Source organism: Homo sapiens, chromosome 16 (genome assembly GCF_000001405.40).
Source record: "Homo sapiens chromosome 16, GRCh38.p14 Primary Assembly".
NCBI classification, from domain to species: Eukaryota; Metazoa; Chordata; class Mammalia; order Primates; family Hominidae; genus Homo; species Homo sapiens.
The window spans coordinates 66,762,559-66,789,553 of record NC_000016.10 but is presented as its reverse complement, the minus strand read 5'-3'; the positions used below and the strand labels follow the sequence as shown (position 1 = coordinate 66,789,553).

At 39.4% G+C, this 26,995-nt stretch overlaps 1 protein-coding gene across 18 annotated transcripts in view, besides 1 other annotated feature; it reads left to right on the top strand.

Moving 5' to 3' along the window:
• Positions 1 to 26,995, top strand: part of TERB1 (telomere repeat binding bouquet formation protein 1) — a 47,386-nt gene that overhangs the window by 12,472 nt on the left and 7,919 nt on the right. For 15 of the 18 annotated variants that reach the window (XR_007064867.1, XM_047433947.1, XM_011523009.3 and 12 more), the window contains 11 exons: positions 1,257 to 1,385; positions 3,269 to 3,329; positions 3,425 to 3,540; positions 3,646 to 3,768; positions 10,539 to 10,691; positions 12,220 to 12,351; positions 14,311 to 14,436; positions 16,805 to 16,965; positions 19,245 to 19,591; positions 21,386 to 21,450; positions 22,044 to 22,139. Coding sequence is in view for 16 of the 18 variants with exons in the window: in XM_047433947.1 (XP_047289903.1) it covers positions 1,257 to 1,385; positions 3,269 to 3,329; positions 3,425 to 3,540; positions 3,646 to 3,768; positions 10,539 to 10,691; positions 12,220 to 12,351; positions 14,311 to 14,436; positions 16,805 to 16,965; positions 19,245 to 19,591; positions 21,386 to 21,450; positions 22,044 to 22,139 (1,509 nt within the window). In the remaining 2 variants the exon portion in view is untranslated. Of the gene's footprint in view, positions 1 to 1,256; positions 1,386 to 3,268; positions 3,330 to 3,424; positions 3,541 to 3,645; positions 3,769 to 10,538; positions 10,692 to 12,219; positions 12,352 to 14,310; positions 14,437 to 16,804; positions 16,966 to 19,244; positions 19,592 to 21,385; positions 21,451 to 22,043; positions 22,140 to 26,995 lie in introns of those variants that run through there. The other 3 variants (XR_007064868.1, XM_047433956.1, XM_047433957.1) reach the window with 3 other exon arrangements.
• Positions 15,922 to 16,122: a silencer, noted in NCBI's record as "peak2617 fragment used in MPRA reporter construct". NCBI's record gives its function as "represses an SCP1 promoter by STARR-seq MPRAs in K562 erythroleukemia cells {active_cell/tissue: K562}" and the evidence as "EXISTENCE:reporter gene assay evidence [ECO:0000049][PMID:32103011]".

The following is a 26,995-nucleotide window of genomic DNA, read 5'->3' as shown; positions in this document are numbered from 1 at the left end:
GGAGTGCAGTGGCGCGATCTCGGCTCACTGCAAGCTCCGCCTCCCAGGTTCACGCCATTCTCCTGCCTCAGCCTCCCGAGTAGCTGGGACTACAGGCGCCCGCTACCACGCCCGGCTAATTTTTTGTATTTTTAGTAGAGACGGGGTTTCACCGTGTTAGCCAGGATGGTCTCGATCTCCTGACCTCGTGATCCGCCCGCCTCGGCCTCCCAAAGTGCTGGGATTACAGGCGTGAGCCACCGCGCCCGGCCGAATTTTTTTTTAATTTATTTTTAATTTTTGTGGCTATATAATAGGTGTATATATTTATAGGGTACATGAGATGTTTTGATACAGACATGCAGTGCATAATCACGGCATGGAGAATGGGGTTTCCATCCACTGAAGGATTTATTCATTATGTTACACAAACAATCCAATTATACTCTTTAGTTATTTTAAAGTGTACAATTAAATTATTATTGATTATGGTTATTTTGTTATGCTATCAAATAGTAAGTCTTAGTCATTCTTTCTTTTTTTTTTTTTTTTTTTTTGGTACCATACCCACCACTTTCCACTACCCTTCCCAGCCTCTGGTAATCATCTATCTCCATGAGTTCAATTGTTTTGATTTCTAGATCCCACAAATAAGTGAGAACATGATGTTTGTCTTTCTGTGCCTGGCTTAGTCCTTGCCTTTGAGATAGGGTCTAATGGCTGGTTCTAGGAACTGGATGAAACGTTGATTGTATCTTTATGTCTATATTATTTTTGTAAAATTCTGCTTGTTGCGTTATCACACACACACAAAAACTATCAGGTAGTATGATTTTTGAAAAGAGTTTTATTTCTAGGAAAGTCTCAGAACATAGCACAAATATTGTTTGTCCCTCTGTTTTCTAAAGTAGGTTTCTGAATTTTCTTGAATTGTTTTTCTTGCTATGTTTTGTTACTCATCCTTTAAAGTGTTTTTTTTTTTTGCTAAATTTTATTTAATTTTTTATTCAGGTAAGTTTTTTATTGTAAATTCTAGGGGATTTCAGTATGTGTTTTGGAGCCTAGATTAAGTACTTTTGATTAATATTCTGCTTCTTTGCTAATTGAGTAAGCGCATATCAGTTTGTCAGAAATTTTGTTGTATGACTAATAAATATCAATTAAATGAGATTTGGTTAAGAACCATCGCCAGTTAGGCAATTTTTTATTTTGTTCAGCATATTTTAAAGCATGTTTGTGACAATGCATTGAAATTAAAATTATATTTTATATTTCAGTTTACTGTCAGCAGACTTTGTGTACTTCAGAGTTGTTTGAAGACTTAACTTGGTTCTTATCTAATGATTCAAACATAAATTTGAAAAGAATGTCTGTTTATGTTATTTTGGTTCTGGTTTCAAATAATAGTAAGTACATTCTCTTATGACTATTTGAAAACACTTTAATCAATTGGAACAGCCATTATTAATTTTTTATTTGAGTTCTTATATCAGTTTTGTTTTTTTGTGTTTTTGGAGACAGAGTCTTGCTCTGACACCCAAGGTGGAGTGCAGTGGCATGATCTTGGCTTACTGCAACCTCTGCCACCTGGTTCAAGTGATTCTCCTGCCTCAGCCTACTGAGTAGCTGGGATTACAGGCACATGCTATCATGCCCAACTAATTTTTGGATTTTTAGTAGAGACAGGGGTTGCACCATGTTGGCCAGGCTGGTCTCAAATAGTGCTGGGATTACAGGCGTGAGCCACTGCTCCCGGCCCAGTGTCTTTTTTTAACCTCACCTCTGAGGAATACTAATTTAAAGAAAAGTGGGTTATTAGCATGTATTTAATCATTCAATACTTATTAATTTTAAGAAATAAAGTAATTTGTAGTACTTAGCATTGAAAGGTAACAGGTTTAAAGAGAAAAAGAGAGGCATTTAATGAATTAGTTTATTTGATTTTCTGCTGAATTGACCATTTAGTTACAGTGTTTACGGTGTAAGCCAGCAATGGTTTTTGTTTTGGAATAATTTTAGATTTACAGAAAAGTGGCAAAGAGAATATAGAATGTTCCCATATACTTACTGCTCAGTTATTTTTTAACTCTTTAAAATTTTAATTCTTCAAACTGTTAGAAATTCTGTAAGCATTTAAAATGTTTCTAGGCCAGGGTGGTGGATCATCCCTGTAATCCCAGCATTTTGGGAGGCCAAGGTGGGAGGATCCCTTAAGCCCAGGAGTTTGAAACCAGCCTAGGTAACATACTGAGACCTTGTCTCTCTACAAAGAAATAAAAAAAAAAAAAAAAGAAAAAGAAAAAGAAAAATTAACTGGGTGTGGTGGCACACACCTGTACTACCAGCTACTTGGGAGGCTGAGGTGGGAGAATTGAGTGAGCTCTGGAGGTTGAGGCTGCAATGAGCTGTGATCAAGCCACTGTACTCCAGCCTGAGTGACAGAGCGAGACTCTGCCTCAAAAAAAAGAAATGCTTCTAGGTAGGCACAGCAGGTCACATCTGTAACCCCAGCACTTGGGGAGGCCAAGGCTGTGTAACCCCTTCCCCATGTCACCCAGGTCCCAGCACGACCATATTCAGTACCAGCAGACTCTCTCATGCCACCCTTCCTGCTAGAGGGGAAATGTGGGCATCAATAGAGGGGGAAGTCTGGGTGGTTGTAGGGCTCAAGGCCCAAACCCCCAGGGTGTTGGGTGGGGGTAGGGCAGCCTCAGGGAAGCGAGGCATCAGGTTGTATCCTTTGAAGGGGAGAAGTCAAGCCTCACCTTCTTCTGCTAGCAGTGGCTGGTCTCTCACCCTCTAGTCCTCTGCTATTATTGTTTCCATGGGGAGGATCACAGACCCAGGCACAATGGTAGTCTGAGCAGGCTCAGGTAATTCAGCTAAGCCTCTTGCCAGAGAGGCCTGAGGAGGCGCCTTCTTGCCAGGCGTGCACTTAAAAAAAATGTTTCTAGATTTTGTTTTATTTTGGAAAAACTAGAAAAGGTTGAATTTATTTATTTTTCCATTTTGGAACTTATCTTGATACTGCAACACAGAACCATGATGCAAAGTAAGAGTTTTGTAATTTTTAGAGGAAATTTGAATACAATTAGTCTCTAAGCAGTAGTGACATATTTTTCATAATAATCTTGATTGCAGATTTTTATCCACCGTAATTCTATGTTATACTTTGTAATACTTTAAAGTTGTTTAAAAGTTATTTATTAAAATAAAACTTAACTGTTCTTCATTTCTGCAAGACTATTTGTAAATAAAACTCATATTTTTATATGGCTATTTTTTTAAGGGACCGGACAAACACTTGTGAGAGAAACAGGTTGTATTACAGTTCTGTCACGGTTATTCAGGTAAACAAATACAAATTTCTTTTTGTTAATTATTCATTACTTAGGACCTTAACACATTTGTATTAATTTACTTTCTTTTCTTTTTAACCTAATAGGACAGTTATTTCAAAACATGAGTTGGATTTGTCAGATAAAAATGTTTTCCAGAGTTATCAGTTGTGGTCTTCAGTGTGTAGTACTCTGTGTGTCTGTGTCAACAATCCTCAAAATGGTAATTATCTGTCATGTTTAAATATAAAAATAAAGATAAAAACAAATGAAAACTGATATTTTCCAATTGTCATATTAAATCATGATTGACTTTGTCTTCTTTCAGATGAGAATCAAATGTTTTGCTGTTCCCTTTTTCCACATGCTAATGAATGGCTAAAAAATTGCACGACACCTGAGATAATTCGCCCTATTTGCTCATTTATTGGACTCACTCTTGCAAATAACAGTAAGTGTTCGTTATTTTCTAGGTCATAGTTGAAGAAACATATTTCAAAGCATAATAAAAACGATTGAATTTATTATTGAATCAATTGAATTCTTGTAATTTGGGTTATTTTGGATGTATTTAGACTCTTAAAGATAAGAAAATCTTAAAAGTAGATATTTTTAGAAGGATATTGGGAAGATGGTGGTAGCAGCATCATTTTTTTAATCTCCCCAGATACTCTCATAAAACGGAGAAACCAGATAGCAAGACTAAAAACCCATAGAGTGTGTTCTCTGATCACAAGGTAATTAAATTAGAAATGAATAAAAACAAAACATCTAGAAAAGCCCCAAATATCTGGTAATTAAACAACTTAGTACTAAAATCTGTGAGTCAATGCATAAATCATAAGGAAAATTATAAAATGTTTCTAACTGAATGATAATGAAAATACAACATTAGGCCAGGCATGGTGGCTCACGCCTATAATCCCAGCACTTTGGAAGACTGAGGCAGGCGGATCACTTGAGGTCAGGAGTTCAAGACCAGCCTGACCAACATGGTAAAACCCCATCTCTACTAAAAATACAGAAATTAGCTGGGCATGTTGGCAACAATTAGCTGGGCATGGTGGCAGACACCTATAATCCGAGCTACTTGGGAGGCTGAGGCAGGAGAATCGCGTGAGCCCAGGAGACGGAAGTTGCAGTGAGCCAAGATCACACCATTGCACTCCATCCTGGGCAACAGAAAGAGACTGTCTCAAAAAAAAAAAAAAAAAAGCCAGACGCAGTGGGTCACACCTGTAATCCCAGCACTTTGGGAGGCTGAGGCAGGTGGATCGCTTGAGGTCAGGAGTTTGAGACCAGCCTGACCAACATGTGAAACCTTGTCTCTACTGAAAATACAAAAATTAGCCGGGCACCTGTAATCCTAGCTACTCAGGAGGCGGAGGCAGGAGAATCTCTTGAACCTGCAGAGGCTGAGATCACACCACTGCACTCCAGCCTGGGTGACAGAATGAGACTCCGTTTCAAAAAAAAAAAAAAAAAAAATTAAAAATTAAAAGAAATCTGTGGGATGCTGCGAAACAGTGTTTAGAGGGAAATTTATAGTATTAAGGCTTGTATAAGAAAAGAAGAAAGGTCTCAAGTCAATTATACTAGCTTCTGGCTGGGTGTGGTAGCTCACACCTGTAATCCCAGCACTTTGGGAGTCCGAGGTGGAGGATCACTTGAGGTGAGGAGTTCCAGACCAGCCTGGCCAATGTGACGAAACCTTGTCTCTACTAAAAATACAAAAAAATTAGCCTGGTGTGGTGGTGTGCACATGTAATCCCGGCTACTCGGGTGGCTGAGGCAGGAGAATCACTTGAACCTGGGAGGCAGGGCTTGCAGTGAGCCAAGATCATACCACTGCACTCCAGCTTGAGCAACAGAGACAGATTCTGTCTCAAAAAAAAAACACAAAAAACCCAAAAAAACCATATTAGCTTCTACCTAAGAAATTAGCCAACCAAGTAAGTTAAAATAAGCATAACAAAGGAAATAATGAAGAGATTAGAAATCGTGAAATAGAGAAAAATAATTGAAACATGAGCTAATTCTTTGAAAAAATCAATAAAAGTGATCCTCTAGCCAGACTGATCACAAAGTAATGAGAGAAAGCTCAGATTACCTGTGCCAGGAATGAAAGGTGACATCACTATAGATCTTAACAGATATTAAAAGAGTAATAAAAGAATAGTAGAAACAGCTTTATGTCATGACATTTAACAACTTAGATGAGTTGGACAGATTCTTTGAAAGATACAAACTACCAAACAAAGCTCACCCAAGAAGAAATAGTAACCTGAATATTCCTATATCTGTTAAAGAAGTCAAATTTGTAGTTTAAAACCTTAACACAAGCTGGGCACGGTGGCGCATGCCTGTAGTCCCAGCTATTGGGAGACTAAGGTGGGAGGATCACTTGAGTCTAGAAGTTCAAGGGTATAGTGTGCTATTATCATACCTGAGAATAGCCACTGCAGCCTGGGCAACATAGCAAGAACCCACTTCTAAACAACAACAACAACAACAACAAAACGCAAAACAAAACCTTAGCTTAGGAAATTCCAGGCCTTAATGGTTACATTGGCGAATTCTGCTAAACATTTCAGGAAACAAACAAATAACTTCACATACATTATTCCAGGAAATAGAAGTGAGAGAAACACTTCCCAACATATAAGGCCAGCATTACACCGATATCAGAACCCAGAAACAACATTACGAGAAACTGTTGGCTAATAGCTCTATGAACATAGATGTAAAAATCCTTAACAAAATATTAACAAATCTAATTTAGCAATATATAGAAAAGATAATATGTTATGACCAAGTGGCGTGTATCCCAGGAATGCAAGACTGGTTTAACATTAGAAAATTCATCATATTAACAGTCTAGAAAAGAAGAACAATATGATAATTTCAATAGATGCAGGAAAAGCATTTGACATAATTCAACCTACATCTGTAAACTCATGGTAAACTAGGAACAGAAGGAAACTTCCTTAATGTGATAAACGACCTCTACAAAATACTACAAGTAACACACTTAACGGTGAAAGACTTAATGTTTTCCCCTTGAGACTGGGAAAAAGACAAGAGACTAGGTGTAGTGCCTTATGCCTATAATCCCAGCACTTTGGGAGGCTGAGGCAGGAGGACCACTTGAATCTAGGAGTTCAAGACCAGCCTGGGCAACATAGAAAGACCCTGTATCTACAGAAAAATTTAAAAACTAGCCAGGTGTAATGGTTCACACCTGTAGTCTGAGCTACTTGGGAGGATTGCTTGAGCCTGGGAGGTCAAGGCTGCAGTGAGTTATGATTGTGCTATGGCACTCCAGCCTGGGCAACAGGGAGATCCTGTAACACCGCCCCAGCCACACACACACAGAGTAACAAAAATAAAAAAGATATATAATACTCTGGATTATAAGACTCAACACTGTAAGAACGTCACTTTCAAATTCATCTCTAGACTCATGGAATTCCCAAGCAAAATCCTAGCAGATTTTTCTCTAGAAATTAACAAGCTGCTTCTAAAACTTACATGGAATGCAAAGGGGCTAGGATAATTGAAACTTTTGGGGAAAAAAGTATAAAACCGTAGGACTGTGTTGCCTGATTTTAATACTTATACAGAAATCAAGAAAGCGTGGCTTTGGTGTAGGTATAGACTTACAGATTCTTTTTTTTTTTTTTTTTTGAGACAGAATTTCACTCTAGTTGCCCAGGCTGGCGTGCATGGTACAGTCTCGACTCACTACAACCTCCACCTCCCAGGCTCAAGTGATTCTCCTGTCTCAGCCTCCTGAGTAGCTGGGATTACGGGTGCCCGCCACCAAGCCTGGCTAATTTTTGTATTTTTAGTAGAGATGGGGTTTCACCATGTTGGCCAGGCTGGTCTTGAACTCCTAATCTCAAGTGATCCTCCCGCCTTGGCCTCCCAAAGTGCTGGGATTACAGGCATGAGCCACCGCACCTGGCCTTGTAGACTTACAGATTAAGGAAACAAAAGTGAGAGCCCAGAAATAGACTCATACATATATTGTTGTTGATTGTCTACAAAAATGCCATTGCAATTCTGTGGAGGAAAAGATATTTTCAACAAATAATGCTAGAAAAAGTGGGTATCTATATGCAAAATATGAATCTGAACCCTTATACAGTATACAAAAACTAACTTGAAATGGTTCATAGACTTAAATAAGTATAAGAGTGAAAAATATAAAACGTTAACAAAAGCAGAAGATTCTCACACCTTGGGGGTAGGCAAAGGTTTCTAAGGACACAAAAAGCATAAATAACTAAAGAAAAAATGATAAATTGGACTCCATTGAAATAATTTTGCTCTTCGGAAGAGCTTGCTATGAGGATGAAAGGTAAGCTAGACTGAGAGAAAATATTTAAGAAACATTTATCTGATTAAGAATTTGGGCCCAGCACGGTGGCTCACCCCTGTAATGCCAGCACTTTGGGAGGCCGAGACAGGCGGATCACGAGGTCAGGAGATTGAGACTATCCTGGCTAACACGGTGAAACCCCGTCTCTCCTAAAAATACAAAAAAATTAGCCGGGCGTGGTGGTGGGCGCCTGTAGTCCCAGCTACTCAAGAGGCTGAGGCAGGAGAATGGCATGAACCCAGGAGGTGGAGCTTGCAGTGAGCCAAGATTGCGCCACTGCACTCCAGCCTGGGCTACAGAGAGAGACTCTGTCTCAAAAAAAAAAAAAAAAAAGAATTTGTACCCAGAAACTTGTAAACAGCTCTTATAAATCAGTAAGAAGACAAAAGCAACCTGATGATTAAAAGATTAAAAAAAATGGGCAAAAGATTTGAACAGATACTTCGCCAAAGAAGATATGAATATTAAATAAGCACTTGAAAAGATGTTTAAGATTGGCTGGGCATGGTGGCTTATGCCTGTAATCCCAGTGCTTTGGAAGGCCAAGGAGGGAGAATCGCTTGAGCCCAGGAGTTTGAGACCAGACTGGGCAACGTAGTGAGACCTTGTCTCTACAAGAAAATTCTAAAAATTAGCCAAATATGGTGGCATGCACCTGTTTTAGTCCTAGTTACTCAGGAAACTGAGGCAAGAGAATCACTTGAGTCCAGGAGTTCAAGCTTACAGTAAGCCACGATCACGCTACTGCACTCCAGCCTGGGTGACAGAGCCAGAACAAGACTTTGTCTCAGGAAAAAAATGCTCAAGAAATAATTAGTTATCAGAGAAATCCAAATTAAAATCCCATGGAGATACTACTACACACCACTAGCATGTTAAAAAGTGGTCATGTTAAATATTGGCAAGGATGTGGAACAACTAGAACTTTCACACATTGCTGATGTATATCTATATTCAAGTGTTTGAAACGAATACTCATATGTCACATGCAAAGGATGTATCTCTAGAATTCAAAAAAAATTGGAATCTATTTCCGTGATACCCTAACAGTCCCTTTATCTCTAAAAGCCAACTTTAATGAGTGATAGTTATAGGACGTCATTACCCTCAGTAAACTACAGATCAGAGGAAATCTGAAATATTCAGTGTACAATAAATGTGGTCTAGGATGTTCTTCTGCTTATATGCCTGAGTTTTTGTCACTTAGGCTATAACTAAGAATCTGTGGTAACACACTGCCATTTTCATCAATGCATTAACAAGTGCTTTTTTTTTTTTTGAGCTAGAGTCTCACTCACTCTGTCACCCCAGCTAGAGTACAGTGGCACAATCATGGGTCACTGCAGCCTCAAACTTCTAGGCCTAAGTGATCCCCCTGCCTTAGCCTCCTGAGGTGCTGGGACTACAGGCACACACCACTGAGCCTGGCTAATTTTCAATTTTTTTTTTTTATTTTGTAGAGATGGGGTCTCACTATGTTGCCCAGGCTGATATTGAACTTCTGAATTCAAGCAATCCTCCTGCCTCAGCCTCTCAAAAATGCTAGGATTACAGACATGAGCTACTACCACACCCAGCCTCTTTTTTGAAGATTTTTAAAAAATGAAAATACTTTCTAGGAAAGAAGTCTATTTTGGAGCCACCATAATATTGAAAATGTTTGCCTGCCCTTAAATAATGTTTCTGGGCTGGGCGCCATGGCTCACGCCTGTAATCCCAACACCTTGGGAGGCCGAGGCAGGCAGGTTGCTTTAGTTCAGGAGTTTGAGACCAGCCTGGGGAACATGGTCAAACCCTGTCTCTACCAAAAATACAAAAATTTCTAGCTAGGCATGGTGGTGCACGCCTGTAGTCATTAAAGGCATGAGCCATGGTGCCCGGCCCAGAATTATTTTCCACTAGGGAACAAAAGACTTCAGACTTAAAGAAATAGATACCGGTCATTGAATCTTTGCTTGGAATAGTTACGACTCTCAGGGATCTGTTATAATTTTATGCTCCAAGAAGTAAAATAATTAGGTGTAAATATGATGGATGAGATGTATGCTCTTTTAGAACGGTTAAATTACTTTGCATCTTGAGGAGTCAATCTGAGGAATTAGTTATGTTGGATTGCAGAAAATAGGCAGCTTGCTAATTACCAAGATAAATGAATGAATATATTCTTTATAACTCTATTGAAAGACTTGTTTAATAATGTTGAGGGTTAGGTGTTTTTTTTGTTTTTTTCTTTTGTTTTTGTTTGTTTGTTTTTTGAGACAGAGTCTTACTCTGTCACCCAGGCTGGAGTACAGTAGTGTGAGCTCAGCTCATTGCAACCTCTGCCTCCCAGGTTCAAGTGGTCCTCCTGCCTCAGCCACCTGAGTAACTGAGATTATAGGCATGCACCACCACACCCAGCTTATTATTTTTATTTTTAGTAGAGATGGGGTTTCAGCATGTTGGCCAGGCTGGTCTTGAACTCCTGACTCAAGCAATCTGCCTATCTCAGCCTCCCAAAGTGCTGGGATTACAGGCATGAGCCACCATGCTCGGCCTAAAGGACAGCTTAATAATGCCATTCTTACAAAATAGAGCAGTTCTTACTAAATGAAACAAAAAAGATTTCTAGTACACAAGAAATACTGTAGTTTTACTGTGTCAAAGTAAGATACATAATAAGTAATCTATTTTATGATTATATGCACAGGTAAAGATTGGATTTTTAGTTCTTTAATTTTGGGATTTTTAGAAAGTATTTGAAAAGGTCAATGTTATATTTAATGCAGATTTATTGAATAAAACCATTCAGCTGTCTTGTTTGAAATATTAATAGTTTTGCTACTTTATTCTTTAAGCATATGTTCAGAAATACTTCGTATCTGTGGGCGGACTGGATGTATTGTCTCAAGTTCTCATGCAGCTGGAATCTGATTCACATGAGACTCTTTCCAGTGCTAAACTTGCAGTGGTTGTGACGAAGACTGTGGATGCATGCATTGCTGATAATCGTGAGTGACAGTGCTTACTAGTTTTTTTGAAATTGAATTTTGTTTGAATATAGCATGAAGAGTGTTGAAATAGTAGATTGAATAGTAACATGGTTTAGACTAAGTTTCTCACAGGTGGAAGGAAGTATTAGAAAGTATCCAACATGGCTGGACACAGTAGCTCATGCCTGTAATCCCAGCACTTTGGGAGGCCAAGGCGGGCAGATCACCTGAGGTCAGGAGTTCAAGACCAGCCTGGCCAACATGGTGAAACCTAATCTCTACTAAAAATACAAAAATTAGCCAAACGTGGTGGCGGGTGCCTGTAATTCCAGCTACTCAGGAGGCCAAGACAAGAGAATCGCTTGAACCTGGGAGGTGGAGGTTGCAGTGAGGGAGCTGAGATCATGCCACTGCACTCCAGCCTGGGTGACAAGTACAAAACTCCATCTGGAAAAAAAGGCAGCATTAAATTAAAAATTTCAGGCTGTGTGTGGTGGCTCACACCTGTAATCCCAGCACTTTGGAAGGCCAAGATGGGAGGATTGCTTGAGGCCAGGAGTTTGAGACCAGCTTGGTCAACATATCGAGACTCCATCTCTCAAAAAAAAAAAAATTTAAAATTTTCAGATGAGAAACCAAGGGATATTTTTGAGATTAAGAATGGAAAACCCAATTTATGTAAAGAATACATCTCTTTCTGCTAAGTATGAGGTCAGATTTACCCAACACAGCATTACTAGTGAGTGGCAGAACCAGACTTGAACTCATGGCTGCTGCTTCTCACATGCGCAAACACTGAAGAGTAAGAAACTCTATTATTATTCACAAACAACTAGGGAGCAAAAAATAGATGGTTTTTTAAAAAGTGGTTATTGAGGACCTGCTATGTGTGGAGCTTTACAAGTACAAAAATGATTAAGATGTAGTCCCTTCAGGAATTCACAACTTTTTTGTTGATATTAGTATTGTTAGACTCTGGGTGAACTCTGTTAAAAGCCACATTTGGAGAAGTATAGCTTAAAATGGTGGTCTTTTTGACTTTTGTCACATCTCAGCATAGCTTTGCATATGCTTCATTGCATCAGTAAGTCAGTAGAACTGTGGTCAGTTAATAGTGTATTTTAAATGACAGCAGGAACTGATTATGTAGGAAAGTCTTTACTATCCAATCTAGATAAGAAGAGGTATGTAAGGGGAGAGTAAGCATACTCAGCTTTTAGGAAGTTAGTGTTACTTCATCTTCACAGCATTCTGCAGAACAATTAAGAAAAAAATTCTTCAAAAAATTTGCTTTAGTAATATGTCTTTAGTATGGGAAGAAAGAGTAATGAGGGTTATAGTAATAGGCCGCCATCTTATTACAATGAATTTATATTTTATTTATATTCACACATACACATATTTATTAGATGTTATGATATGTGTATATTTAATTTTATATAGATATATAACATTCTGCCTGAATAAACTCTGAAAAATACATAGTATATATACATTTATAAGTTTTAAATTTGTACTATCTTTTTTTCCTATTTTATACTAATAGCTACTTTTGGGATAGTACTCTCCAAGTACCACATTGTTTCTAAACTTCTGGCATTACTGCTTCATGAAAGTCTGGATTCAGGAGAAAAATTTAGCATCATGCTTACTCTTGGTCATTGCACAGAGGATTGTGGTAAGTATTGGATTTATTGAGTGTGGTTATTAAAATAGTAAAGCGGAAATATACTTCTGTTTTTTTTTTTCTTCCAGTTATGTGAAGGTCTTAAAAGTATTGCTTTTCTCCTAGTCATTCAGACCTCAAACTAGTCATTTCAGCTCCTAATTCTCCTTCACTCATTGTATTAAGTCAGTCATTAAGACCTGTAGTTCTACTTCTGTTTACCCCTCTTGATCCCTTTCTGTCCAGTTCCAATGTTGCTCTTCCAAAGTAGGCCCTTAAACCCACAACATCTTTCACCAATATTATTGCAGTGGTTTTCTCACTGCAGCACAGGGAGAAAGCTCCTTCCCTTCTACCTTCATTTTTCAGCCCACTCTGCACATTGCTGCACAAATCTGATTCTGTTCTCCTTGTTAAAACTTTCAAAGATTCTTTCTTTTTCTACCTATTACTGTCTCCTCTCTCTTTTCTCTTTCTTCTCCCCCTTTTATTTTCCTCCTCCTCTCTACTTTCCTCCCATTCTCCCTCTGTTCAATCTACTCCTTCTTACCAATTCTCTCCACTTTCCTCTCTACCCCTCTCTCTTCTAATCTCTCTCTGCTCTTTCCACTCTCACTTTTCCACTCTCCTCCCTTTGCTCTCTCTTGCTTCTTCCACTCTTTCTTCCTTCCCTTACTTTCTACTCCCTCCATTAGTTTATTTACCTATTCTTTCCCTTAACCTCTGTGTAATTTAGGATTGATTATACCCTTTTTCAAACCAAGTGAGTTTGTTGACTCTTATGAGTTATGATACTACTCTGTGGCTGCGTTTCTGAGATCACTTATGAGACAGGTATTTTGTGTAAGTGAATTATTTTCTTTTTCTTTCTTTTTTTTTTTTTTTGAGACGGAGTTTTGCTCTTGTTGCCCAGGCTGGAGTGCAGCGGTGCAATCTTGGCTCACTGCAACCTCCGCCTCCCAGGTTCAAGCAATTCTCCTGTCTCAGCCTCCCGAGTAGCTGGGATTACAGGCATGCGCCACCAGGGCCAGCTAATTATGCATTTTTAGTAGAGACGGGGTTTCTCCTTGTTGGTCAGGCTGGTCTCGAACTCCCAACCTCAGGTGATCCGCCTGCCTCGGCCTCCCAAAGTGCTGGGACTACAGGTGTGAGCCACCGAGCCCGGCCTTAAGTGAATTATTTTCTATGTTAAAAATCCTTTTGGGGGCTGGACATGGTGGCTCACACCTGTAATTCCAGCACTTTGAGAGGCTGAGGTGGGCAGATCACGAGGTCAGGAGTTCAAGACCAGCTTGGTGAGCATGTTGAAACCCTGTCTCTACTAAAAATACAAAAAAATAGCTGGGCATGGTGGCGTGTGCCTGTAGTCCCAGCTACTCGGGAGGCTGAGGCAAGAGAATTGCTTGAACCCGGGAGGCGGAGACTGCAGTGAGCCAAGATTGTGCCACTGCACTCCAGTCAGGGTGACAGAGCGAGATTCCCTCTCAAAAAAAAAAAAAAAAAAATCCTTTTGAAACTATGTGTTTCTCTATTTTAAAAATTTGTTGTTGTTGTTTTGTTTTGTTTTTGTTTTTGTTTTTTGAGACAAAGTCTCACTCTGTTGCCCAAACTGGAGTACAATGGTGCGACCTCGGCTCACTGCAGCCTCCACCTCCCAGGTTCAAGCAGTTATTGTGCCTCAATTTCCTGAGAAGTTGGGATTACAAGTGCCTGCCACCATGCCTGGCTAATTTTTGTATTTTTTATAGAGACTGGGTTTCACCATGTTGACTAGGCTGGTCTTGAACTCCTGACCTCAAGTGATCCACCCATCTCAGCCTCCCAAAGTGCTGGGATTACAAGAGTGAGCCACCGTTCCTGGCCTATTTTTAAAATTTTGAACTATGTTCATAATTATCACAAGGAAGAATTATGACCTCATATAGATAGTTTATGATAAAAAACATTGTCCTCTTTGTTTATGTTTTCCAGAGGAAAATCAGTATGACCTTTTTAAAAACAATGGGCTTCCACTCATGATTCAAGCCTTAACTGAATCGCAGAATGAGGAACTGAACAAAGCTGCCACATTTGTGCTTCACAACTGCAAAAAAATTAGTAAGTGTACTATTACTTTAAGAACATACCAACCAAAGTTTATAAAGGAGAATTTATTTCTGCTTTCATGAGCCAAGGCCCTATAGCTCTCAGATTCTTCTTACATTTGAAAAGCAGACTAGGCCCTGCACAGTGGCTCATGCCTGTAATCCCAGCACTTTGGGAGGCCAAGGCAGTCAGATCGCTTGAGTCCAGGAGTTCAAGACCAGCCTGGGCAACATAGAGAAACTCTGTCTCTATAAAAAAATATATATATAGAAAAAATTATCTGGGCATGGTGGCACATGCCTGCCAGCTACTTGGGAAGCTGAGGTAGAAGGATCATCTGAGCTCAGGAGTTGCTCAGGTCGAGGCTGCAGTGAGCTGTGTTTGCACCACTGGCCCTCCAGCCTGGGTCATAGAGTGAGACCCTGTCTCAAAAAAAAAAAAAAAAAGAAAATCAGAGTATAAAATTTGGACATGACAACTAGGGTATATTCAGCATATACAAACCCATGTGGAAGAGAGCAGCAGTATAGATAATTCACTATTTTATGCCGTGTGCACAAATTTAGTTTGCAGGAATTAAATTTGTGGACTAAGGGTTACTTATTGTTAAATCATAAGTACATTCATTTATTTAAAAATGTTTGGGGCCGGGCGCGGTGGCTCACGCCTGTAATCCCAGCACTTTGGGAGGCCGAGGCAGGCGGATCACGAGGTCAGGAGATTGAGACCATCCTGACTAACACAGTGAAACCCCGTCTCTACTAAAAATACAAAAAATTAGCCGGGCGTGTTGGCAGACGCCTGTAGTCCCAGCTACTCGGGAGGCTGAGGCAGGAGAATGGCGTGAACCCGGGAGGCAGAGCTTGCAGTGAGCCGAGATTGCGCCACTGCACTCCAGCCTGGGCGACGGAGCAAGACTCTGTCTCAAAAAAAAAAAAAAAAACGTTTGGGCTGGGCATGGTGGCTCACGCCTGTAATCCCAGCACTTTCGGAGGCCTAGGCGGGTGGATCACGAGGTCAGGAGTTCAAGACCAGCCTGGCGAACATGGTGAAACCCTGTCTGTACTAAAAATACAAAAAAAATTAGCCAGGCCTGGTGGCGCACGCCTGTAGCCCCAGCTACTCGGGAGGCTGAGGCAGAAGAATTACTTGAACCAGGGAGGCAGAGGTTGCAGTGAGCCAAGATCGTGCCACTGCACTGCAGCCTGGGTGACAGAGCAAGACTCTGTCTCAAAAAAAAAAAAAGTTTGAGTTTCTGTTATGTGCCAAGGCAGAGTGCTAGACATCAGGGACATCAGGGATACAGTGATGAAAAACAGTCTGTGTATTCACAGAGCTTAGTTTTAACTACAGAAATAGACAGTAACTCAAAAAATGAGATTATGTGTTATTATAAATTGACATAACAAATATATAGGGATAGACCACAGGTCTTTAAGAGCCTATAACAAAGGAATCTGGTCTAGACGTGGAGCAGAAAAGGCATTGGGAGGAAGTGATTCTTGAGCTGAGAACTGAATGTCTAGAGTTAATTAGGTGAAAAGAAAGGAATTTGTTATCAGTGAGTGTCTCAAGCATAAGCAACAGTGAGGCACAAAGGCCCTGTGATAGGAGGGAACCTGGTGCACTTAAGGAATTGATGGCCAGTGTAGCTTGAGCTCAGAGGGCAGTGTCCATGATGAGAATTTTGATCTTTGTGGAAGAAAAACTGCAGACACAGTATGTTTAAAAAAAAAGGATTATAGGAAGGAATCAATTTTTGAACATTATTTTTTTAAAAAAACTACTTTATTTTTGAGACGAAGTCTCACTCTGTCGCCAGGGCTGGAGTGCAGTGGCTCAGTCTCTGTTCACTGCAGCTTGTGCCTCCTGGGTTTGAGGGATTCTTGTGCCTTAACTTCCAGATTATCTGGGAATACAGGTGCGTGCCACAATGCCTGGCTAATTTTTTTTTTTTTTTTTTAGTAGAGGTGGAGTTTCACCATATTGGCCACGCTGGCCTTGAGCTCCTGACCTCAAGTGATCCTCCCGCCTCGGCATCCCAAAATGCAAGGATTACAAGTGTGAGCCACTGTGCCGGGCCTAAAAAACTAACTACTTTAAAACCAGTATCCATGTACCTGAGGGTGTTTATGTGTCTGGCATAACATATTTGCATGTTTTTTCTCCTGTAACTCTGAAGAGTAAAGTCTGATTTATGACTGTTTGAGTCCTGGGCCTCTGCTAGATAATCTTCCACTTACTTTTCAGTACCAATTAAGCTGTTAAGATAGTCTGGATGGAAAAATTTAGAGAAAGGAGAGGGTGGGCTGTGAAGTTGTCCTTATATATAAAGTGTTTAAATAACTTTTCATTCATTGTTTTTTCCCATACTACAAAGCTGAGAAATTATCTCTAAGTCTAGGAGAATATCCTTTTGATGAAAATGAAACACAGCAATTAAAGGACATAAGTGTGAAGGAGAATAATCTTGAAGAGCACTGGAGGAAAGCAAAGGAAATTCTACACAGAATAGAACAGCTTGAAAGAGAAGGAAATGAGGTTGGATTCTTTGTTTTAAAGAATATAGAACTTTTTTCAAATTTTTAAAATTTCTTTCTTTTTTCTCCATACTACACTGACATATAAATTTTTTGTTAATTTTTTTTGAGACAGAGTCTTGCTCTGTTGCCCAGGTTGGAGTGCAGTGGCACGATCTCGGCTCACTGCAACCTCCGCCTCCCAAGTTCAAGTGATTCTTATGCCTCAGCCTTTCAAGTAGCTGGGATTACAGATGTGCGCCACCACACCCGGCTAATTTCTTTGTATTTTTAGTAGAGACAGGGTTTCCTCATGTTGGCCAGGCTGGTCTTGAATGCCTGACCTCAAGTGATCTCCCTGCCTTAGCCTCCCGAAATGCTGGGATTACAGGCATGAGCCACCATGCCCAGCCAATATTTTTTAACAGTAGAGGTTGGAGGGTAAAAAATTTTTTCTTCCCAAGTTATTTTTTAAAGTTTTAAATAGTTTTAAATGGAAAACTCCATAGTAATACTGGAAGAATCATGCTTTGACATAAAACAACAATAAAAGATTTTTAAAAAGTAGAAATGATGACTGAAAAGACAGGAAATGTGGAATATTGAGCCAAGAGATCTAACATCTGAATAATTGGGGTTCAAGAAAGAGAAAAGTAGTAATAATCTAATAACTTCTTTCCTCTTTATATAAATATATTTTTCTATGTATGCATGCTTTGTGTTTTTGTATATGCATATGTGTTAAAAAATCAAAACATAGTGTCCAAGTTAGTATAATATAGTGATTTTATTATTTTAATTGTCTGAGTAGTATTCACTATTGCAGATGTGCCATAATTGATTTAACCAGTCCTTTATTGATGGACATGTAAGTTATATTTAAATTTTTACCATTGCAAACAACTCTAAATACCTGCTACACATGTACCCGTGTGTGTGTGTGTGTGTGTGTGTGTGTGTGTGTGTGTGTGTATTCTGTAACAGCTTTAATGAGATATAATTCACATACCGTACAGTTCACCCATTTAAAGTACAGTCAACCCTTGGTATCTATGGGGGATTGGTTCCAGGACCTCCCACAGATACCCAAATTCATGGATGCTGTGAACTTTAGGGAAAGTTTAGGCAAGTTATTTAATCTCTTTGTGCTTTAGTTTCATCATCGATAAATGGAGAAAATAATAGTACCTCTCAAATACCTAGATAGACATAGTTTTTGTTATGAAAGATACTGTCAAATTGTTTCACCACAGAAGATGTATCAACTTACACTCCCACTAGCAATGTTTAAGAGTACATGTTTCCCCACAGCGTTTTGATCTTTGTGAGTGTAATAGATGAAGAAAAATATCTCAGTGTAGCTTTAATATTTATTTATCTTAAGTGGGATGAAACATTTTTTCTTGTGTTTAAGAGCTATTAATATTTCCTTTCCTATAAACTATCTGTTCATCTTCTGTGCCTGCTTTTCCATGCTATCGTTGATCTTTTTTCATATTTCATTATAGTAGCTTTTTATAAATGTTATTTTTAAAAGTTATCCTTCAGCTTGGGCAACATGGCAAAACCCTGTGTCTACAAAAAAATACACAATTAGCCAGGTGTGGTGTTGTATGCCTGTGGTCCCAGCTACTCAGGAGGGTGAGGTGGGAGGATTGCTTCAGCCCAGGAAGTCGAGGCTGCAGTGAGCTGTGATCATGCCACTGCACTCCAGTGTGGGTAACAGAGCAAGACCCTGTCTCAAAAAATATATATATATGTATATCCTGTTGCTTAAGATATATGCTTTATACATATTATTTCTGGGTGTTTTGATTGTCATTTGGTTTTGCTTCTGGTTCTTTATTCCTGAGATCCCTGCCCAGAATAACGTTTTTGGTCTCTAGAAGAATTAAAAAAAATTTTTTTTATGTGGTCGAGTATATTAGTTTTGTTTTATTATTTAATTTTGGGTAATACTTAGAAAGGTCTTATACCCCTTAAGAATATTAAAATATAATGGTTTCTTTTAGAACATATATGACTTTGTTTTTATATTTAAAAATTTGGTTCATTTTGACTTTATCTTTGTATAAGCTGTGAGGTATTCAACTTATTTTTTCACCAGATGGCTACCCAATTGTCCCAATATTGTTTAATGAATAAACTCCCTTTTCTTCCTAATGTAAACTGCCTTTTATCATATATGTTCTATTGGCAATCATAAACTTTTTCTTCATTCTTCATTATTTAAATGAAGTATAAATTGGATTATAAAGGGAATGGATTATATTGAAATTATTTGTCATTTTTACACTATAGGAAGAAATACAAAGAGAAAACTATCAGGATAATATTTCATCTATGAACATAAGTATTCAGAATACATGGAAACATCTCCATGCAGATCGGATTGGTCGAGGTAGCAAAGCAGAAGATGAGGATAAAAGCCATTCTAGACAGTTACAGAGTTATAAGTCCCATGGAGTCATGTCTAAAGCATGTACAAATGATGACCAAATGAAGACACCGTTAAAGAGCGCAAATCCAGTCCATGCTTGTTACAGGGAGAGTGAGCAAAATAAGACTTTATATAAAGCCAAGTCAAGCTGCAATCAAAACTTACATGAAGAAACTACTTTTGAAAAGAATTTTGTTTCTCAATCAAGGTATAGTTTAATAATTGTGTGTAACTTTTATTTATTCAGCAAGCATTTATTGTGTACTACAGTATGCCACACTGTTAAATATTGGGCATGTAGAAGTGACATGATGAAACATGGTCTTGGGAAGAGCCTAAAGTAGGAAGTGTTGGGAAAGGAGTTTGGACAGGGAGGTATGGGCCAGTTAATCTAGGGCCCTGCAATGTCATACTGTGGATTTTGGGTTTTAACTCACAGGGTATAGGGAGTGATTGAGGATTTTAAATTGAGTGGCGTAACAGATTTGAATTTTAGAAAGGATACTCAGAAAATAAAACCTAAACGGAAACCCTTTACTTGAAGTAACAATGCGTGCATTGATAATCAGCAGTATAGCAAAAACTGTTTTTAAATTTAATGTGATAAAGGGAATAGGATGTGAAGAAAATTTGGTTTGGGTTTGCCCTTTTGTTTGTTCCCTGCACTTTGTCTCTAGAACATAGTCTTTTTCCCTTGCAGTTAGTTTGTGGGGCTAGACCTGGGATTGTAGCTTTTCTTAAACCCTTTATTGGGTTGTGCTCTTCTGTTGGTTACTGTACTTGGGAAAAATGAAGAGGATGCTGCTACATTTCGGGCAGGTTGAAGGGTAAACTAAGTACCAGGAAGAAGGGTTACACCAATACCACCCCTTTTATCTGTTTCAAGACCATTCTTGATGTTAATTTTAACTTGATTGCTCAGGTATGGGAATTGGGAAGCAGTAAGATATGGTCCTGGGCCAGCCTTCTTGACCTCCATCCCAAGCTTTCCACCCATACCCTTCTTTCTCCTATAGAGTTAGCCATATTTCTTTTTCTTTTTTCTTTTTCTTTTTCTTTTTTTTTTTGAGAAAGTTTCGCTCTTGTTGCCCAGGCTGGAGTGCAATGGCATGATCTCGGCTCACCGCAACCTCCACTTCCCGGGTTCAAGTGATTCTCCTACCTCAGCCTCCCGAGTAGCTGGGATTACACGCATGTGCCACCACGCCCGGCTAATTTTTTGTATTTTTAGTAGAGATGGAGTTTCTCCATGTTGGTCAGGCTGGCCTTGAACTCGCGACCTCAGGTGATCTGCCCGCCTCAGCCTCCTAAAATGCTGGGATTACAGGCGTGAACCACCGCACCCGGCTAGGGTTAGCCATATTTCTACCTCAGCCAACTTATTAATATTTTCATCTCTTTGAAATGCTTTTTTTCTCCTATGTAGTAGCTCCTACAAATATACGTACATGGACAGATAGCTATAACTATAAAGCTACTGCTATGCCTGCTATCTGATCTACAGTTCTTGCCTTTTTCTGTACTGCCTGTTAATCATTGTGACAGTATAATCAAAACTTGTATTTATTCATCAAGGACTACAGGGTTCAAACATACAAATGTTTTGGGGGTTAGGAAGGATTTTTAAATTCAGGTCTTTAAATGATTGTTGTTAGCACTTTGCCATCCTGCACCCATGTTCATTTTTGCTCCCACTGATTTTGTTCTCTCCTTTTTGCCTTCATCTCTCCTACTTCCTTCTTTTTATAATCTTTTTCTTCCATGTTTCTTCTGGCATCAATACTATTGCCCTCTGGAGTCTTGTTTGACTCGAGCTCTAGAAACACGGCTGTAATTGTTGCAGGCCCTACGTTGGCAGAATTTGGTAGATTGTGGTAGATCGTGATTCCAGGTTGCTTTTGCCCACCAAACACCGAAAATCACAACACTGCTTACAGAAACATTGGTCCGCACACCAAACAGTATGTTTACTTTTAGTAATCTGGTGTCTATTTTCTTTTAGTGACCATGTTTTTAAACACCCAGTTCACATTGCCAAAAATATAAAGCAGCAGTTACCAGTAACAGGTATGATTAAAAATGTTTCTTTGGTTTTTTAATAAAACAGATATTTAGGTAACCAATATAGCTAAAAATGCACATTGACTGGGTGCGGTGGCTCACGCCTGTAATCCCAGCACTTTGGGAGGCCTAGGTGGGCAGATCAGCTGAGGTCAGGAGTTCAAGACCAGTCTGGCCAACATGGTGAAACCCTGTCTCTACTAAAAATACAAAAATTAGCCAGGTGCGGTGGTGGGCACCTGTAATCCCAGCTACTCTGGAGGCTGACGCAGGAGAACTGCTTCAACCCAGGAGGCGGAGGTTGCAGTGAGCCGAGATCATGCCACTGCACTCCAGCCTGGACGACAGAGTGAGACTCCATCTCAAAAAAAAAAAAAGTCCATTGCTATATTGGCCCTCTAAAGCATAAGCCACACCTTTGACTCTTTCTGTTGTAAATGCCTTCCATTAAGATCCAGAATCTTTCTGTTTATTCACCAGCATGACTGGAGGCATAGTACTAGGCTAAGGTTTATGAAAAGCTTGATATTTAATAAATCCTGAAAATATCTGATTCTTTTCATTAATCCAAAAATCCTTCATTTTGCAATTTTTTTCAGATCCATTTACATTATGTTCAGATATAATAAATAAAGAAGTAGTCAGTTTTCTAGCAACTCCCAGTTGTTCCGAAATGTTGACGTATAGGTGCTCAGGTAAGTATTTTTTTAATTGCAGTTGTTTCACAGTCAAAGCCTTTTATGATATTAACTAGAATTTTTTTTTTTTTTTGATACAGAGTCTTACTCTGTCACCCAGGCTGGAGTGCAGTGGCGCGATCTTGGCTCACTGCACTCTCCACCTCCCAGGTTCAAGTAATTCTTGTGCCTCAGCCTCCCAAGTAGCTGGGATTACAGGTGCCCACTACCACACCTGGCTAATTTTTTTTTTTTTTTTGTATTTTTTCGTAGAGCAGGTTTTACCATGTTGGCCAAACTGATCTTGAACTCCTGACCTCAAATGATCTGCCTGCCTCAGCCTCTCAAAGTGCTGGTGTTACAGACATGAGCCACCACGCTTATTGTAATTAACTAGAATTTATAATAGTTCTACATGTATGATTTACTTTGTTCCCTTTGGAGAAATAATACTGTGGAATATCAAAGCATTCAAATTAATATCTTCTATCTGGGCCAGGTGAGGCAGCTGTAATCTCAACACTTTGGAAGGCCAAGGCTGGAGGATTTCTTGAGGCCAGGAGTTCAAAACCAGCATGGTCAACATAGCGAGACCTTGTCTCTATAATTAAAAACAAAGCAAAACAAAAAAAACACCTTTTATCAGCATCAGGCTGAGCTTCCAATATTTGTATGTATGAATAAACACAGTTAGTACCTTTTTATTACTTTATTATCTTTTTGTCTTAATACCATCTATGAATTTAACCTTACTGAGTAAAATAAACATTTTTTAATGTTTTCAGAGAGCCGTTATTACTAGGTATGCATTCTGGATTATCCTGTAAACATAGGCATTAAGTTTTAAAAATACCTATTTTTATATTTATAATATGTAAATGTTTCTACTGTTTCATGTTCATTATTTGTTTTTTCTGCAGGGCTCTTGTAAATGTTCCACAATACTTATTCCATCCCTTCTCCTCCTCCTTCACACCCCGGTATTTCCTCTTTTTTCATCTTGCTGTTGTACTCTGCTCTATGGACAAAATTGAGGTTCTCTATATTCGGCTCAGAACATCATTGTTCTTCCCTCTTGGATGAAGAGGTTATCTCTATTCTTCTAAAACTGATGTCCAGCCATAAGCTGAATCTCATATCTTTTTTTTCTCCACATTTTAATACTAATTGCAAAATCTTTCTCTTCACTTCCATTCTATTCATTAACTCCTTTTGTTCCACCTTGAACTATGCTCATTTTTCCTCATCTTAAAAAAATACCCGGCCGGGCGCGGTGGCTCACGCCTGTAATCCCAGCACTTTGGGAGGCCGAGGCGGGTGGATCATGAGGTCAGGAGATCGAGACCATCCTGGCTAACAAGGTGAAACCCCGTCTCTACTAAAAATACAAAAAATTAGCCGGGCGCGGTGGCGGGCGCCTGTAGTCCCAGCTACTCGGGAGGCTGAGGCAGGAGAATGGCGTGAACCCGGGAAGCGGAGCTTGCAGTGAGCCGAGATTGCGCCACTGCAGTCCGCAGTCCGGCCTGGGCGACAGAGCGAGACTCCGTCTCAAAAAAAAAAAAAAAAAAAAAAAAAAAAAAAAATACCCAATAGTTTGTTTGATTTGCTATCCTTTCAATTATTCATCCACTCCTCCCAGCAGATGCACATATACCATTAGAAAGTAAATGTATTAGGCCGGGTGTGGTGGCTCATGTCTGTAATCCTAGCACTTTGGGAGGCCGAGGCGGGTGGATTACCTGAGCTCAGGAGTTCAAGACCAGCCTGGTCAACACGGTGAAACCCCGTCTCTACTAAAATACAAAAAATTAGCTGGGCATGGCAGCATGAGCCAGTAATCCCAGCTACTCGGGAGGCTGAGACAGGAGAATTGCTTGAACCTGGGAGGCAGAGGTTGCAGTGAGCTGAGATCATGCCATTGCACTCCAGCCTTGGTGACAGAGCGAGATTCTGTCTCCAAAAAAAAAAAAAGAAAGAAAGAAAGTAAATGTATTTAATAAGAATAAAAAAGTACAAATATTTCTTTCAGTTTAATTGTATTATTTTTTCAAATGGCTACTAAGTTGTTAGAACATAAATACTTATTAAGTTGTCTTGGATCTGACAGAATCATTAGGCATTTCTTTTGGCTTAGAGGTGCCATGAACCTAGAAAGTTTGGGAATCTCTGGTCAAAAGTATTCTAGGTGGCAAAGTGGATGTTCTGTAATTGCTTAGTTTGTATGAGATGGTTATTTCCTTGTTCCTTTCTCCCCTAGTTACCATTCATTCATTCCACAAACATTATGGAGTGCTTAGTCCTTGGCTGGCACTGGAATCGAAGATGAATAGAACTCAGTCTTCACCTTTATCTCTCTCTTCCTGCCAGATTGCCACAAGTATTCTCCTCAAGACCTAGTCTATAGCACCTACGCAGTTCTTTCACTACATTTACTTTTGTAGCATCATCTATCATTTTATTGATGGTTTTCAAATATGTATCTTGACTTTTGGCTTCTAACGTGGGCTATAGCCTTATTCTTTCATTTCCAGTAGTTCTCAGCACATACCCACTTCAATATCTTCTTGTTACTTTAAGCTTAATGTATCCTAAACACAACATCCACAGCATCTTTCTTCCTTTTAAATTGGCCTCCCAACTCACTGCATTTCTGTCAGTGTTGCCACTATTTGTCTGGTCTCCCAGACTTTAAGCCTTGAATCATCCATGACTGTTCTCTCTCGTTCCGTCCCTTATTTCTAGTCTATCAAATTTTGTTCTTTTTTGCCACATAGGCCCTTTTTGTTTCATGCCTAAATTATCGCAGCAATTTTCTAGCAGTCTTTGTCTCAAGCCTCTCCAACTCCCAAGTATAATATGCATATCACTGTTAACTTATCTTCTTAATATGTGCTTTATCGTGTCATCATGCTAAAGAACCCTCAGTGCTTCTCTGTAACCCACTGAATCAACCTCTCTGCCTGGCTTTCAAAGTTTTGTGGAATTTTGTCCTGCTTCCACTTGTTAAATTTTACTGTGCATTTACTCTGAATCTGCTAGAAATGTGCTATGGTTATTTCAAACTTTGCCATTTGATCAAGTACTGAATTTCTTGAGAATTATCCTAAACGTTTCCCTTATCCCAACAGCTCATTATTCATCAAACCCTGCTAATTTTACCTCAGAAATCTCCCCATTCTCCCCGCAAATGCCTTGTTTCAAAATCCCTTCATTTATTTTGCGGACTACTAAAGTAACCTCTCAACTGATCCTCTTGCCTTCAGGTGCCCTTTCTACAAGACAAATGAAATCGTGTCATCTTCCTGCTTTTAATAAGTATCTCTATGTTCCTCCCTGTTGCCTTGAAGAGTTAAAATTCCTTAGCATGGCTTTCAAGACTTTTCTTGGTCTCGTTCCCTGCAACCCTTCCCATCCCCAGCTTTTCTCCCATACTTCTCTGTACTCTAGCCATATTAGAGTGTCCATGATGCTCTGAATACTATGCTTTTTCACACTTCAGTGGTTTTGCACATCTTTATTGTACTGAAATGTCTTCATCTCAGCCAACTATCTGCGTGGCCAACTTCTAGTCCTTTAGGAATGGGCCACTAATACAATTAGGTGACAAACTGATGGAGAACTTTATACTGGATGGACATGGCTGACATTACCTGAACCTACCAATCTATCTTTTTTTAAAAAATGTTTTTCCAACTTTTATTTTAAGTTCAGGGATACGTGTGCAGGATGTGCAGGTTTGTTACGTGGGTAAACATGTGCCATGGTGGTTTGCTGCTGATCTATCTTAATATTTAAAAAAAGAGGGAGTTTTTCTAACCCTATTGGCTCAAGAGGCTGCCCAATTACAATTTCTTTTTTAAAAAAGAGAGAGACGGACAATATGTACCTCTTAATATGATACAGTAAGAAACATACAATACTACCTTCATGGAATTCTAGTAAAAACACTTGAACCTGAATCTGACCAATCATTTAGATTTAATTACTAGTTTATAGGACACACAACAACATTTTAAAGGACACAACTAGGATGCAATCAGCAAAACTTAGCCTTTGAGAAACTATAGTACAAATGACCTAGTATCTTCAGTAAGTAAATGACAAGGAAGAGAGGGGAACTGGTAGATTAAAAGCACCTTGACATATGTTAACCGAATGTAAGTCAGACACAGTGGTGCGTGTGTCTGTAGTTCCAGCTACGTGGGAGGCTGAGGTGGGAGGATTGCTTGAGCCCAGGAGTGCAAGTCCAGCCTGAGCAACATAGTGAGACCCTGTCTCTTAAAAAAAAAAAAGTAATGATGAACCTTATTTGGATCATGATTCCAACAACCAACTTTCAAAAGAAATTTTTGAATTGATAGGGAAAATTGAACACTAGATGTTAGATTATATTAAGCATGAATTTTTAGGTGTCATAATAGTTTTATCTGTTTACAAAAAGGAGTCCTGGCCGGGTGTGGTGGTAGCTCATGCCTATAGCTCAGCACTTTGGGAGGCTGAGGCAGGTGGATCACTTGAGCCCAGGAATTCGAGAACAGCTTGGGCTACATAGTGAAACCTGTCTCTAAAAAAAATACAAAAATTAGCTGAGTGTGGTGTTGCATGCCTATAGTCCCAGCTACTTGGGAGGCTGAGGTGGGAGGATTGCTTAAGCCCAGGAGGTTAAGGTTGTAGTGAGCTGAGATCATGCCACTGCACTCCAGTCTGGGTGACAGAGTGAGACACTATCTCAGAAAAAAAAAAAGTCCCGGCTGGGTGCAGTGGTTCACACCTGTAATCCCAGCACTTTGGGAGGCTGAGGGGAGAGGATTACTTAAGCCCAGGAGTTTGAGACCAGCCCTGGGAATGTAAGGAGACCCTGTGTCTACAAAAAA